The sequence below is a fragment of the Homo sapiens genome, chromosome 16, assembly GCF_000001405.40.
Source record: "Homo sapiens chromosome 16, GRCh38.p14 Primary Assembly".
NCBI classification, from domain to species: domain Eukaryota; kingdom Metazoa; phylum Chordata; class Mammalia; order Primates; family Hominidae; genus Homo; species Homo sapiens.
In genome coordinates this window covers 19,522,854-19,539,762 of record NC_000016.10, presented here as the reverse complement: position 1 = coordinate 19,539,762, position 16,909 = coordinate 19,522,854, and the positions used below count along the sequence as shown (strand labels likewise).

The window sequence follows — 16,909 nt, the reverse complement described above, 5'->3', positions numbered from 1 at the left end:
ACTGAGGCAGCCTCTTGCCTTGCTATGCTATCTACTTGGAGGATCCAAGTTGGCTCCCCAGGTAACAGTGGTTGTTTTTATTAGAGCTCTTATAAAGTTGCACAGGATGGGCCAGGGCTGGTGGCTCAAACCTGTAATCCCAGCACTTTGGGAGGCCAAGGAGGGCTGATCACCTGAGCCTAGGAGTTCGAGACCAGCCTGGCCAACATGGTGAAACCCTGTCTCCACAAAAAATATAACAGCTGGGCGTGGTGGCGCATGCCTGTAAATCTCAGCTACTTGGAAGGCTGAGGCAGGAGAATCGCTTGAACCCAGGCCTACAGTGAACTGAGATCGCACCACAGCAATCTAGCCTGGGTGACGGAGCAAGACCCTGTCTCAAAAAAAAAAAATTAAAAAAAAAAAAAGTTGCACAGGTTTTAAGCAGTCTGACCCAACCCTGTATTTCCCATAAGCCCTAAGAGCTTAACTTACTTGATTTGTATGTCTTCTATATCAGTAATAAAGAATTATCAACAATGACAACAAAGTAAGGGGTAATGAAGGAGAAAAACGTGCTTTAATAAATTGCTGTTAATGGATACAACAGAAAAAACTGAAATAATAATTTTTATTAATTAAGAACCTTTATTATTATTATTTTTTTTTTTTGAGATGGAATCTGGCTCTGTCACCCAGGCTGGAGTGCAATGGTGCAATCTCGGCTCACTGCAACCTCCGCCTCCTGGGTTCATCCAATTCTCCTGCCTCAGCCTCCCAAGTAGCTGGGATTAAAGATGTGCACCACTACGCCCAGCTAATTTTTGTATTTTTAGTAGAGACGGGGTTTCGCCATGTTTGTCAGTTTGGTCTCGAACTCCTGACCTCAAGTGATCCACCCACCTCGGCCTCCCAAAGTGCTGGGATTACAGGCGTAAGCAACCGCGCCGGCCTAAAGAACCGTTCTTGAACCACCTACTCAGAGCCTTATTTCTGATACTTTGTCTAATAATTTGATGTTAAAGTGTTTACTGAAGGACCAATTACACGAAGCTCATACTACAAATGAAAAAGCAAACTGAAATAAACATTAGAAACTATAGTCCAAAAGAAAGACCTCATAGCAATACAGTGAATTAAAACTGTAAGTGATGTTTCAGGCAAGACTGTTTGGGGCTGGGTGCGGTGGCTCATGCCTGTAATTCCAGCACTTTGGGAGGCTGAGGCGGGTGGATCGCTTGAGGCCAGGAGCTTGAGAGCAGCCTGGCCAACATGGCAAAACCACATCTCTACTAAAAATATAAAAATTAGCTGGGCCAGGTGGTAAGCACCTGTAATCCCAGCTACTCTGGAGGCTGAGGCACGAAAATCAATTGAACCCAGGAAGCAGAGGTTGCAGTGAGGTGAGAACCCGCCACTGCACTCCAGCCTGGCGACAGAGCAAGACTGTCTCAAAAAAAAAAAAAAAAAAAAAAAAAAAAGAACTGTTTCCTCCAATTATTAATATTCTCAATAATACCAAGTGGACTATGAAAGCTTCATCATTTAAATAAGAAGATCCATCCAGGCATGATGGCTCACGCCTGTAATCCCAGCTACTCAGGACGCTGAGGCATGAGAATTGCCTGAACCGGGAGGTGGAGGTTGCAGTTAGCCAAGGTTGTGCCACTGCACTCCAGCCTGGGCAACAGTGCCAGACTGTCTCAAAAAAGAAAATCCTGGCTGGGTGTCGTGGCTCACGCCTGTAATCCCACAGCTTTGGGAGGCTGAGACGGGAGGCTCACTCAAGCTCATGAGTTTGAGACCAGCTTGGGCAACATGCCAGAAACTCCATCTCTACAGTACAAAAAATACAAAAATTAGCCGGGCATGGTGGCATGAGCCTGTAGTCCCAGCTACTTGGGAGGATGAGGTGGGAGGATGGCTTGAGCCCAGGAGGCGGAGGTTGTAGTGAGCTGAAGTCATGCCACTTCACTCCAAACTGGGGTGATAGAGCCAGACCTTGTCTCAAGAAAATCTTTAAGAAAGCCTATCAAATGGCAATAAACTGTAGCTGACTAATATGCTTTCTAATAAGATAAATAAAATTAAGTGCCCATATGAATAAAGACCACTTTTTTCCCAAAAATGTCAATTAAGAGTATTAAAATAAAGGTATCTGCATAGAAGGTATCAAACGCTTCAAAGATTCCTTACCTTTGGAACTAGTTCCTAACATTTTATTCTTGTTAACGAAGCCAGATCCCTTAGGGTATCTTTTTTCTGGCAAATGTTGCCTTTCTTGTTCAGTTATTCCACTTGTTATGACATAAGGGCAGTTTTCTTTTTGCAAACCATCAATATCTAAATCAAGTCTCCGTTTAACTTTCTCAAAACTGTTATCCAAAAATTGTTCATTTCCACAGGACACCATAGGTGTGTCCATCTGCTGTCTCGTATTCTGGTTTTGCATCAATAAAGGAGAAGGGTTTTTTACATCATAAGACTTATTCAGTTCTGTTTGCAAACTGCAGTTTTTCTCTAACATACTGGCTGGCTTGAGTCCACTCACAGTTCCAAAGTTTGGACTTGCTATACACTGACTGCTGGCATATGGTTCATGCAGCTTTGGCATCGCAGCACAGGTACTGTTCATTATGTGTGCGCCTCTCTCATCGGATGTTAACTGACCTTCCACAGTAACAAGTCCATGAGTAACTTTATTTTCTAAATGATTTCCTGAAGATTGACATACCTGATTTGATTTACCTAAAACCACATCTTCTTTGACTTCAGATGTATTTTTGCCCACATAAACCTTGCTTGAACAAACTCCCGCTAAATCAGTTGGTAACTTTGGCATAATTTCGGGCACATTTGTGTTTTCATCAGTATCTTGAATAATTAAGTCCATTGCCTGTTCTTTTCCTTTAGGGCTTAATTCACAGGCATTTATTGGGTTATTTATAAGTATATGACACGCTGATGATGTCCTGGAACGTCTTCGGTGCATTTTAGGACTCATACTTGGCTCTGGACTAGGTAATTTGGCATATGAACCTGTAAGACTTTTGATAACATTATTTTCGGTAACAAAAGTGGGAATAACTTTAAAATCAGAATTAGACTCTAGAACAGTGGGATGGCCAGTTCGTATAGGTATGTCCACTTTCGAAAAGCTAGCTAAAACTGGCATACTCATGCTGCTTGCTTGAGTGGAAGCACCTTGGAGAAGAACATTTGATTTATTAAGGCTTGGTTTGTCAGGAATAACTGAGACACAGTGTTTGCCTGTCAACTGGCCTTTCTCTTTTACACAGTCAGCCACTTCAACAGCATCATGTTCTTTGTCTAAATGACTCTCATTAACAATTCTGTTGATACTACCTCTCAGACTGCGTCTAGATTGTTCTCTTTCTATATATTCCTTTGACTTTTTCATCAGATTCTGAAGACTCATTACATAGGGATCTGGGATGACTTCTGCCAAAAGTGGTAGATCCTGTTGTTCATTTACTGAGAAGGGACCATCAGAAATAAGAGTTTCTTGTGGGGTTGCTGAAGAGGTCTTTGGAAAAGCTTCATTTTCTACATGACTAATATTGGAACTATCACATTGCTTCGGAGAATTAAATCCTTCTGAATCTCTAGCTAAGTCTATTCCATCAGTTTTACATTGGTCCTCATTATCCAATGGCAAAATCCCAGCTATCTTATCAAGCTTTGCTGCAGTAGAGTGTTCCGTATGGCTTGGAAAGCTATTTGGAAATGTAGCAGGAACATTCAAGTTTCTGACTTCTGAATTAGAGTAAACTGTTTCCATCTCCCACTGATCAAAATCACTGGCATTAGGTGCTTTTCTAACCTGAAACAGGAAATTTAAAAATTAATATTTCCTCATTGCACAAAAAGTCTCTGATTTCACTGTTTTCTAAAATAAAATTGAAATTGAAAATTCAGAATTCTGACATTTCAAAACATAAAGAAAAACTAAGATGACAGGTTTCTACGGTATCCTGTATCACAGGGGGCTCAAATTATTATTGAAAAGATGCCTACTGGTCATCCTGCCTAAGTTATTAAAAGAGTTATAAAAGAGTTATAAAAAGAAACATCTAATCTGATACAAATATGAACATATATATGTGTATACACACACACATATATTCATATATCCATGTGCAATTTAATCTTAGAATACAAGCACTTAAATTTCTTCTAGTCATATGTTATTAACATTACCAACTGTTCCTCCTAGGATAGCTATCATCCAAGGATAATAATATATGCAATAAACAGCAAGTAATGAAATGTCTTACGTAAACGATTCCCTCTCTAACAAAGACTAACTTGTCCAGGACATTGATTAAGCAAAAATGATTCAGTAATAAGACTCCTGCACCTACATGCTTACTCCAAAGTTTAACTAAACTTTGTCTCAAAAATGAATGAATGAATGAATGAATGAATGTAAAAATAGATATTTTGTATCTAAATAATCCAACTTTGCAAAAGAATAAAAAGAGAACTAGGATAGTTTCTAAAGGTAATTATACATCCGTATATTAAACTGGCAAAAATCATTGTATTATCATATGAATACAGACATCAAAAGCCTGACTACTGGCGGGGCATGGTGGCTCACGCCTGTAATCCCAGCACTTTGGGAGGCCGAGGCGGGCGGATCATGAGGTCAGGAGATCAAGATCATCCTGGCTAACACAGTGAAACTCCATCTCTACTAAAAATACAAAAAATTAGCTGGGCTTGGTGGTGGGCACCTGTAGTCCCAGCTACTCAGGAGGCTGAAGCAAGAGAATGGCATGAATCTGGGAGGCGGAGCTTGCAGTGAGCCAAGATCACGTCACTGCACTCCGGCCTGGGCGACAGAGCGCGACTCCATCTCAGAAAAAAAAAAAAAAAAAAAAAAAAGTCTGAATATTACAATATTTTTTGGTTGTTTTGAATGTGCTTGTTTTTTTCTAGACCACATGGCTCTCCTATTTTACGTTACAAATCCCAAGACAGGTAATGGTTTCCAGGTACTATGCAATACACAGTACAATAAGACATACTTAGTCACAACCTCAGAACCAAAATAAAACAAAAAAGATGCAAAAAGGTTTCCAGGTACTATGCAATCAACAGTACAAGAGTACAAGACATACTTAGTCACAGCCTCAGGACCAAAATAAAACAAAAAGGATGCATATTTATGAAATCCATGAACATGTTCACAGGTTTAAGTAAAACAGATGATTTCCTTACGTAAAATATTTCACATTTGTGATATTCGGAAGCTATGTTGTTTATACGTCACTAAAATGAGCCTTTAGTTAGACAAGTTAAATAACAACAAGAAAAAAATCTATCATAGAATCTTAGGTTTTACAGGTGAAGCAGAAATCTAATTGTATTATATAAAATTTTCCTATCTGAATAATTAATTCATTACAGTTCAACATTATACATGCTCTTTTAACAATTTTATTAGTAGTATATTTTATCTTCCCTCAATGGACCAAGAATGATATGCCATTTTCATTTCAATCACAGGAAATACGTAGTAAGTAAAAAACCTACCTCTTATTGTTAAATTAGTGCTACTCAATACATTTTTTAAACTTAATATGGACAGTAATTATAATCTGCAAAATGAAATCTACTACCCACACACTATATACTACTGTGAAAGGGAAATAATATCTCAGGACCCCAAACTCAACTATGTCACATGAGAGTCACTATGACTCTCATTAACAATTCTCTTAATACTACCTCTCAGCCTGCGTCTAGATTGTTCTCTTTCTATATATTCCTTTGACTTTTTCATCAGATTCTGAAGACTCATTACATAGGGATTTCGAGTAACTGAAATGGAAAATCACATGTCAAAGGAAAAAGTAAAGCTTAGGAACTGAGTCACACAAAAACTGCCTTCCTTTTATTCCTAAACAGATAGCTGCAAAATAGAAGGCCACCTATCTACCCAGGTAGACTCTCTTGCAAATTGCTCACAAGGAAATTCCTCGTAGGCCCCAAAATCTTTACACCAACCCAGAGTTCTGCTGAATTTCACTCTGACAAGATACGGACAAAGACCAAAGATGACTAGAAATCATCCCTTTGGAGACAAATGTATATTTGACTTCTTCCTCTACTCTGCTTACTTTATCCTATGTAAAATGCAGATTTATTGAGCTTGAGATGAATGCATAACTGACTGTTCCTCTACCCCCACCTTTCTCATGCGACTTGTGGATTCAGTGAGTGCTAATCAAAGCCTCACAAAAATGTGATCGCTTATCTCATTACCTACCCTCCTTTTTTTTTCTTTCCTCTTTCCCCTCCTGCTGTTCTCTCCCCTTTATACACTGAAGTCCTCAAAACCTCTTCTGGAAAAGCATAAGCCACAGATTCTACTGTAACTTTTGTCTCTTTTTCCTTGGCACATCCTCAACCTTGGCAAAACAAACCTCTAAATCGATTGAGACTTGCCTCAGTCATTTTCTTCAGTTTACACTACCAACAGAGAAATGAACCCTTAAGGTTCATTATACACGTGTCATCGATACGAATTAAACAGACAAACCACAAACTCCTAAGATTATGAAAAAACAAAAAGATGTTACCAGCAGAACACTGCTATATGTTGTAGAAATTATTCGTTCAATCTAATTCATTTGTTTTTCTTTTTAGTACAAAATGATCCACATGTCAGAACAAATTGTTTATACAAATCTAAAAATAACTGCACAAGGTGTAGATGTGTTGTTTAAATAGTTTTTAGACATAGGATGCATCTAAACAATTCAATGTTATCTAAACTGCATTTTGTGTATCTAAGAGTTTTCACCAAAAAAAAATTGGAGGCAGTTATTTACTTAAGCAAAGAATGAGAATAAGGTCATTTAGTCAATAGTCTAATTAGTTTGGGGTAAACAATAATACCCAATTCTGTCATTTTGTCACTGAGAATTCAATGTTTTTAGAGTCATAAGATGCAAACAATAAGCAATTATATTCAGTGTATGGTTCTATTGTGTAAATATCCTCTGATTCAAGTACTGGGCATTACTAACAAGCAAGTACATTCTCTTTGGAGTAACTGAAATGGAAAATCACAAATTATGAAGCTTCTCAAACGTAACAGTAAAGTACATTAGTAATTAGTTAAGTGCAAATATATTTCAGAAAAATTATCATCAACGCTTATCTTATGATTTCTTTATTATAACTGAAACAGCTAAAATCACACACCTGAACATTGTCAAGAATCTCCTGGACACGAGTCAGTAAAGCTTTCTTCCTGTTAACCTGCTTTCTTGCTTCTACATCAAGTGCTTTCTGCTTTTCTTGTTGCATTTCCTTTCTTTTCTCAATGTTAAGCTGCAAAACATCATAAAAATGTAATTATTTCCCACGATAAAAATATCATAAAATCGGGAAGTTGTGAATCAGAAAGATTAAAAACATGTGCAACAGGCAAAACTAATGTATAGTGAAAGAAATCAGAACAATGGTCTGGGTACTGAGTGGGATGGGGCATTAGAGATCTTTCCATGGTGAAGAAAATCCTGTGTGGGTGTGAGTTATACATGTGTATGCCATATATCAAAACTCATGGAACTTTAACACTTAAGATTTGTGCATTTTGCTATGTGTAAATTATTTTCAGTTAAAAGGTTAAAAAGAAAAAAGTTTGTTCACTAATCAAATGTTCTAAAATGACAGAAATAAAATTAAGGCCCTTTTGGCCACTGCTGAGTTTTTTATTACTTCACTTGAATATTGACTTGAATATTACTTCACATTCAGTATCCTTTTTTTTTTTTTTTTGAGATGGAGTCTTGCTCTGTCACCTAGGCTGGAGTGCAGTGGTGCGATCTCGGCTCACTGCAACCTCCGCCTCCTGGGTTCAAGCGATTCTCCTGCCTCAGCCTCCGGAGTAGATGGGCTTACAGGCGCGTGCCACCACGCCCAGCTAATTTTTGTATTTTTAGTAGAGATGGGGTTTCACCATGTTGGTCAGGCTGGTCTCGAACTCCTGACTTTGTGATCTGCCCACCTCGGCCTCCCAAAGTGCTGGGATTACAGGCGCGAGCCACCGCGCCTGGCCCATCTTCAGTATCTTATTTCACTGGATCAACTGGATTCTACAACTTTTAATTTTCTAACCAGTGCACAATTTAACTCTTTGCTGCCTCAAAAAATGTCCAAAGGTTTAATGATAAAATAAACAGATAATATATTATTTGCCTACAAAAGCAGAATACATCTTTTCTTTCACCTCACTCTACCTTCTGATAAAAATATAATGTACCTAAAAAATGGAAGGCTTCTAAGCATTGTATCTCTTTATAATGGATTTCAATCTTAATTATTAAGTCCTGGGAAATTAAATCACTGTTAACAGTCAAGACTTATCGTAGACTTACACAAATAGAAAATATATCATTAAAAAATTATTTCAAAAGTTGCAATATTCACCTATCAAATACAACATAAAAGTGTGGATTAGGTCCATAAACATCACATTTTGCTTATAAATAAATAACAGACGGAGTCATAGACCCTACACAACAAGCCTCAGACATTTTGGTCCACATTAAATCAAGCAATGTGTTATCAAATAGCTGATAAATATGTTGTTTTAAAACTTTTTCCTAATTGCATGGTACCAAAGAATGATTATACAATTTACTTGCTAATCAAAAGGAGAAAATGTGTACTTTAAAGAGCCATCTGGCAGTCACTACTGTAAGCAAGTGTTCAAACTAAACATCACTAATAGAGGGCAACTAAACATTATGTAACTTCTGATTTAATTTAGTATGAAGTGCAGGGCATCATCTCCAAAGAATTCCTTTTTTTTTTGAGATGGAGTCTCAGGTTGGAGTACAGTGGTGCGATCCCGATCCCTCCTGGGTTCAAGCGATTCTCCTGCCTCGGCCTAACGCACAGCTGGGATTACAGGCACCCACCATCATGCCTAGCTAATTTTTATATTTTTAGTAGACAAGGGGTTTCGCCATGTTGGCCAGGCTGGTCTCGAACTCCTGACCTCAAGTGATACACCCATCTCGGGCTCCCAAAGTGCTGGGATTACATTTTTTTTTTTTGAGAGAGGGTCTCACTCTGTTGCCCAGGCTGTTGTGCAGTGGCTCGATCTCGGCTCACTACCTTTGCCTACTGGGTTCAGTGGATCTTGGCTCACTGCAACCTTCGCCTCCTGGGTTCAAGGGATCCTCCTGCCTCAGCCTCCCACATAGCTGGGATTACAGGCATCCACCACCACGCCCAGCTAATTTTTGTATTTTTAGTAGAGACGGGGTTTCGTCATGTTGGCCAGGCTGGTCTCAGCCTCCCAAAGTGCTGGGATTACAGGCATGAGCCACCCCGCCCAGCCCTATCTTCAAAGAATTCCAAAAATCTTTAACCTGTTTATCAAACTTCACTTCCAGTTCATAGGAACTACAGGGACTAGAGAAACAAGTTAAATAACACTATTAGGAAACAATGGGACAAATCCAAGATCTAAGGAATTCTACAAGACAATAGCTCTGGTCTCTTTAAAAATTCAGTATCATAGTTTTGTTATTTTTTTAAAGACAGTATCTCACTCTGTCACCCAGGTTGGAGTGCAGTGGCATGATCAGGGTTCACCGCAGCCTCAGCCTCCCGGGCTCAGGTGATCCTCCCACCTCAGCCTCTAGAGCAGCTGAGACTCCTGGTGCGCGCCACCACACCCAGCTCTTTTTTGTATTTTTTGTAGGGATGAGATTTCACCACGTTGCCCTGACTGGTCTCAAACTCTGGGGATCAAGCAATGCAATCCACCCACCTCAGCCTCCCAAAGTGCTGGGATTATAGGCGTGAGGCACCATGCTCAACCAATAAAAAAAACTGTTTTTAAGACGTACAGTAGCTATTTTAGATTAAAATAAAGAAACATAACAAGCAAATACTAATTGTGAACTTTGGATCCAGATTGGGGGAATAAAGTTATAAAAGGCATTTTGAGCACAAATGGAAAAATTTAAATATGAACAGAATTATTAGATATTATTAAAAATTATTAGTTTTCTTAAGATGTGATAATGGTATTGGGGCTTTACATAGGAGAATGTCCTTATTTTTAAGAGATGTACACCAAAATATTTAGGGGAGCAGTGTCAGGTCTCCGTGGTTTTCAAATAGCTAGGCAATTTTTAAAAATGTCATATGTACACACACACATAGATGTATATAAAAATCACAAACACAATAAAGCAAAGATGACAACAATGTTAAAAATTATTTAATCTAATGGTAAATCTATGGGTGGTCACTGCACTATCCTTTCAACTTTGCTGTATGTTTGAAAGTTTCATTACAAAAAGTTGGCAGTTAGCTCTGGTGTCTTTAAAAATTCAATTCAATTAATTAAAATTAATCTCTTAACTCCTGTTATACCAAAAAATAAATTTAAAGCTCACTTTTTTCTAATATTAGTTTGTGATTTAAAATAAAGTCATATGCATTTTTAAAATATCCAATTAGTATCAAAGGGTGTATGATGAAGTGTCTTCCCTATTATCCTATATTCTCTCACCACTCCCCAGAAAAGGAATAGCCATCCTTTGAAAAACCCAAATGGTTAACTTATATTGGGTACCTCTTATGATCCAGGTGGTATTCTAACCATTTTATATCTACGAATTCATTTAATCTTCAAAATAGCCTTATGAGGTAGGCACTATTTTATCCCCATTTAACAAATAAGAAAATGGACCACAAGTTTACACAGCAAGTAAGTAGCAAAGCAATGATTTGGACCCAGGCCAGAAGGCTCCACAGCCTAGACTTTTTTTTTCCTTCTTTTGGGATAGGGTCTTGCTCTGTTAGCCCAGGCTGGAGTTTTTTTCCTTCTTTTGGGATAGGGTCTTTCTCTGTAGTCCAGGCAATGATGCAATCCTGACTCACTGCAGCCTGCAACTCCTAGGTTCAAGCGATCCTTCCGCCTTAGCCTTTGAAGAGCTGGGACTACAGGCACATGTCACTGCGCCAGGCTAATTTTTTAACATGTTTTTATAGAGATGAGGTCTCACTATGTTGACCAGGCTAGTCTTGAATTCCTGGTCTCAAGCAATCCTCTTCCTTCCGGTCTCTCAAAGCATTGGGACTATAGGTGTGAGCCACTGTGCCTGGCCCAGAGTCTGGACCTCTAATCATGACTCTATACTGCCCCTGACAGCATGCTGCACACGGTGTTTTACACTAGATCATTGAGATCCTTCCATGCCTCAACATTTACATCTGCCTTACTGTAATGGTATGTATGAGAGTTTATAAAATAGACCATAGTTAAACTACTCCACTACTGATGGACATTTAGGTGGTTCGTCAACCTTTGCTATTTTAAACAATGCTAATGTAACTTTGTACTTATTTCTTTGGGCTCACATATAATTGTAGGATATACCCAAAAATGGAACTGCTGACCCAAAGGCTATGTATGCTTTTAAATTCTACCAAACTGCTCATCTAGAAATAAAATAAACTGATTCTCTTAGCAAAAGTGCATTAAAAGTGCATTTTCTCCACAATCTAAGGAACACAAAGTTCTATTAGGTCTTGGCCAATCTATAATAGTAAGTAAAAAATGCTAATTCATTTGTATTTCTCTAATTCTGAATGAGGGCATCTCTTCAAATGTTTATAAGCCTTTCTTTTGTTTTTCCACGAACTGTTTTAGTTGTTCACTACAGAAAAAAACTATTTAAAAACAAAGCAAGTTTACCAGTGGAGAAAGGATAGCCACTCCATGAAAGCGAATAAGTGAGATACTTTCAGACTGAGCAGGGAGAAAGCTCTCTGTGGATAGTGATGCTTCTTGTATTCTGGCAAGACTTTTTTCACAGAACTTCTCATACTCCTCCATCTTCCCACAGTCACACTACAAGAGAGAAAAATGTTATTTTTAATGTACTGGGAAAAACAGATCTTAATTATTTGGCAGATTTTGTAGAGCATGAGAGAGTCCCTATAATTCACAATTCCTATAACTGGTCCTCCCAGAATTGTCTTACTGATCAGGAGCTAATTCTTGGGTATGGTAATTCACCTCAAGAACCTGTCCAATTAAGATTTACTTTATATATTAAATATTTCTGAATATTATTGCATGTAAATCAATCTTTAAATGGGATTAATTTAGCTAAGAATTCAGTAAAACCTTCTTAAAGGAAACAAAGTTCTGTAAATCTTTACTAACTTCACATTGTAAAACAGGATATTATATTTTCTTTAACAGGACTTATCTACACAAGAAAAACTATATCATACAAAGGTACAAACACTGTAGTAAAAAAGCCTACTTAAATCAAAGAATATTTACTTTTAAAAATTTTCTATTTTGAAGTTCAGAGGTTACTCTCATATCTTTTTTTTTTTTTTTAAAGAGACAAGGTCTCACTATGTTGCCCAAACTGGATTCCAGTGACTATTCACAGGTTCAGTCACAGTGCACTATAGTCTCAAACTCTGAGACTCAAGCAATCCTCCTGCCTCAATTTGCCTATCTTAACACTATACTTGGACTGCATGAGCACCAGCCAACTCAGTCAGAGGTAAAAAAGAGCAAATCGATTGGCTCTGATATTAATTATATTTTATTGTTGAAAATTGGAACCATCACCAAACTACTTAAAACAATCCCAGTAATTTCACAGTTTCTGGGAAATTGTGATTATGAAAATACAAGGTAACCAGGAGGGATTAGGCATCATATTCATTCATTTAGCAAACAGTAAATGTTGATTGCTTATTTGCACAGCATTATGTGTGGCACTGTTTCCTTTAAATAAGCAAGGGAAAATAAAAAGACATTATCAGAATCATAACCAGCAAGGGTATGAACTATGGAAACAGAAAATAGAATACAATCATGTTCCTTTATGTCTTCATTTTAAAATAATTAGCTTCTTAACAAAAAAAGAGAGGGCAGGGAAATTCAATTCATGATGTGGGATATGCAAAGATGAAATAGGATATGTCCTCGGTAGGCCTCAAAGTACTTAAAAATTCAGTACACCAAAGTATCAGGGACAAATTATAGTGCAATGAGAAATGGGAAAAAAAAAATAGTCAAAATTATAATCAGGTTATAAAAAAATAAGATATAATGCTATTTTTTCTAAATAGTTTAATCAATAACAAAACTTCTTCCTACTATTCAATCAATTGTAATTATTTGTGTTCAATCTATGCAAAGTAGGAATCTAATGACAAACAAATGGTTCTCTACAGTGTGAGTGAGACTATTTTACAAGCTTTTATTTATTTTAAAAAAGCAAAAGTAAAAACAATAAAACACCTTAAGGCATAGCCTTTTTTTAGGTCTAGGTTTCAACTCACATTATTTCTTAACCCCATTTCTGCTCAAATATTTTATTTTTTTAATCATGCCATGCATTCAGCAATACACAGAATGTAAATAGATTATACAAATAAAGTAATATATCTTCTATGGATACTCAAGCAAAGCATGAAATTCAATTTTAGAAGTGAGGGAAATTATTAAGGAAATATAATACTTTTATGGCCATAGTTTTATTTTTCTTTCAACATCATAGAGCTATGCCTCATTGTTTCAGAAAGTTATTCACATCCCTTAAATAGTACATATATGTCCTATATCTTGCAGATGTATAGTACTATATTATTATTACAGCACAACACAGCATATGACAACGCATTACTCATTCAAATATGAGTGCTAATATGGAGATTATACAAATTACTAGATGATCCTTAGAGCATGACTGGATCCTTCTTATTCTTCAGTCTCGGCTTGGATATCCCCTCCTCAGAGAAGGCATCCCTGATGACCCCATCTAAATGAACTCTGCCTCTATCACTATCACATTACCCTGCTGTTTCCCAATTTTCATAGCACTTACCACTATCTGAAATTATCGTGTTTATTTCCTTGATTTTTGTCTGTCTTCCTCCACCAAAATGTAAGCGCCATAAGTACAGGTACCTTTTCAGTCTTGTTCACTGAATCCCCATTACACAGAACAGTATCAGCACACAGCAGGCACTTGATAAAAGTATTGAATAAATGAATAAGAATAATAATAAGCTCAAACAATAATGTAAACCAGAAGAAAAAAAGAAGGCGGACTATACACCGAAGCTAGCAAGGAAGAGTGGAATTTAGAGAATGGAAATTTCACCATGGCTCTAGTCCCAGAGAAACTGGTACCTCTTAAACTGCAAAGGTAACCATTTAAGAAGTGAGCAGTCTGTATCCCATGATTAAGCAAGAGGACACTATGCCTTTCACACTACAATTACCACTGTCAGCAAGGTTTTATTTTAAGGGAGCCCTGACTACAAGGCTACCCCAGCCACAAATCTACTGCTCTATATCTTGCCATCAGGCATCACTGGTCCACTTCCAGTAATAATTTGTCAGCTACAGCAGGTTCAGACATGCCGTCTTCTCCATTTATACCACAGAGAACCACTGACCCTTGTGCAAATGAGCCTCTTTGCAAACCCCGTAGACTCATGGTCCTATCTGCTCCTTACCCGTGCTCTGCCAGACATGTCACTGAAAAGAGTGGTAAAAGTAACACAGAACAGATCCTGCTTTTTTTTTGCAGAACCTAGTGTTTCTTTGCCCATCAGTTCCGCCAAAGACGCAAACTTCTTGTAAAAGCGGTAAAGGGGAAGATTTCTTATTCAGATGCGTACTAGCTGCAAGTTCTTGGCAAGCCAGTTACCATCCCCACACCTGTTTCGTCCTCTGTAAAAGAGGGATGATCACGGTATCCGTCTCAAAGGAATGTTGTAAGAATTCAATGAGCTAATGCATGTAGGGCAATTAACGTAGTGCAGAACACGCAGAAAGCAACAAATAATGGGGACTGCTTTTCTTATTAAGAGGATAATGATGATGACGATTTTTAGCAGTAGAGTATGAATTCCTGGAGGGCAGCGACAGTGCTTGGTTCCCCGTAGGTTTCAAATGAAACTGAAAAATATAGAAAAGGGGACAACGGCTTCCTCATTTCCCTGTCCCTAGACCTCTCCCCGTCAAATCAATCTCGAGATGGCTGCCATTTGCCTAAACTGGGGGTAGGGAGCTTGGATCGTAACCAGAATAGAATCAAAGGGTGGGAACCATCTAGCAGCTCCAGGGGCAATCGATTACTTTATTATCCTCAAGTTTATGCCCCAGAGTGGCAAAGGCGAAGTAAGCAGCGCTCCTAGGGCCTTGGTTGTGGAAACAGGGGCTCATAAATGGCCAATGCACACCCCGGGGAAGCCTCCCTCTCCAGCACCGTGGGAGGGAGAAGAAAAACGGCCCAAACAATTTGATCACCACGATGGGGTTCTCCGGCTCTGGCCCGAGTTTTATTCACCAGGGACGGCCCCCTGCCCTCTCCCCAGCGCCCCATGCCCACCTCCTCCAGCTCCTCCGATTTAAGACTCCAAACCGAGGGCCCTCCAGGCGGGGCCAGCATCGGAGCATCACCTCAGCGCCCGGTGCTGGCTGCCCCCGGGGTCCCGCCTCCCAACAGCCGGCGCCTTTCCAGGGGGCTCGAGGCCCGGGAGCCCAGCACAGAGCCCGCCCTCAGCTTCTCAGGGCGCCAATTTCGCCTCGCCAGACCACCTCTCAGCCCGGACCCGTCAAGGCTCAAGCCCCCTCCTCATGCACACACCTGATCCCCCACGGCCCCTTCAGCTCCTCTCCCCTCGCCACGGGCCTTGTCAGGAAGCGAATGGCTCAAATGGTACTGACAGAGCGCAGCTCGGTCCGCCGCCGCCTTCTCCTCCTCCTCCCCGCCATATTACGGATCTCAGGCTGCAACGCGGGCTCCTGGCAACCGCCGCCGCTGCCACCCCGACTCCACCTCTCAGGGCCGGCACTTCCGGTGGTTGATTCCCGGGCTGTTAAAACCGTTGGGCCACCAGAACACTACCATCCCCGAGGTGCATTGCGCGCCCGCGATGGAGGACGTAATGCTTACGGCCAGCACGCTGCACGCCGGGAAACGTAGTCTTCCTTGCAAGCTAGAGACTAGAATTTATTAATAAATTTACTTATTTAGTAGAATAGGAACACCCCTCAGGGTCTGAAGCCCCCTGAAGTGTTCCTTGAAGTTGCCATTTTTTTCTTATCTGTATAAAGATAACCCCTTTCTATGCAGCCGTTAGAAAACATGTAACATTCACCAAAATATTTTCTTGTAGGTAAAAACTTGCTGAACCCACCGGGCGTGATGGCTTACGCCTATAATTCCAACATTTTGGAAGCCGAGGCGGAAGGATCGCTTGAGCCCAGGAGTTCGAGATCAGCCTGGGCAACAAAGGGAGACGGCATCTCTACAAAAATTTTAAACGTTAGCCGGGTGGGGTGGCGCGAGCCTGTGATCCCAGCTACTCGGGAGGCTGAGGTCGGAAGATCGCTTGAGCCCAGGAGGTCGACGTTGCAGTGAGCCATGATTGCACCACTGCATTCCAACCTGGGCGATAGAGTGAGACTGTCTGAAAGAAAAAAAAAAAAAGGCTGAATCCTAGATGCCAACTGGAAGGCTTAAGACATCTATCCCCTTTTGCAAATCAGTGGGAAAATGCACTAAAGGAAAAAAAGGTAACAGAAAAATCCCTGAATATTTTTGCAAAGTTCTCTACATAAAAATGTTACCAGCCCTCCAAAATATGTCCAGGGGCCCCTTTTCACTCCCTAACTCGGCTTCATGGTCTATCTCTCTTACCCTCCTTCCAGTGCCTGTTTTTGCATATGTAAAATGGGGGTTTTAAAAGTGCCTATCACAAGGGTGGTTGTGAGGCACAGTTGAGGTAACTCCTGTACAGTGCCTGGTACAAAAGCCCTTAGCAGAAGTAAGATTAGGGGGAGGAGGAGTGAAAATGTCACAAATCACTGGGGAGGCCT

At 39.6% G+C, this 16,909-nt stretch overlaps 1 protein-coding gene across 12 annotated transcripts in view; it reads right to left on the bottom strand.

Moving 5' to 3' along the window:
* The window catches only part of CCP110 (centriolar coiled-coil protein 110), a 29,467-nt gene extending 13,646 nt beyond the window's left edge, over positions 1-15,821 (bottom strand). For 3 of the 12 annotated variants that reach the window (XM_011545991.3, NM_001323570.2, XM_047434961.1), the window contains exons 1-6: positions 15,675-15,821; positions 14,539-14,983; positions 13,902-14,044; positions 11,741-11,896; positions 7,219-7,347; positions 2,176-3,823 (exon numbers count right to left, since the gene is read on the bottom strand). In XM_011545991.3, coding sequence (XP_011544293.1) covers positions 2,176-3,823; positions 7,219-7,347; positions 11,741-11,881 — 1,918 coding nt within the window. In that variant the 5' untranslated portion in view covers positions 11,882-11,896; positions 13,902-14,044; positions 14,539-14,983; positions 15,675-15,821. Of the gene's footprint in view, positions 1-2,175; positions 3,824-7,218; positions 7,348-11,740; positions 11,897-13,901; positions 14,984-15,674 lie in introns of all 12 variants that reach the window. The other 9 variants (NM_001323569.2, NM_014711.6, NM_001323576.2 and 6 more) reach the window with 4 other exon arrangements.
* Positions 15,822-16,909: the final 1,088 nt, after the last annotated feature.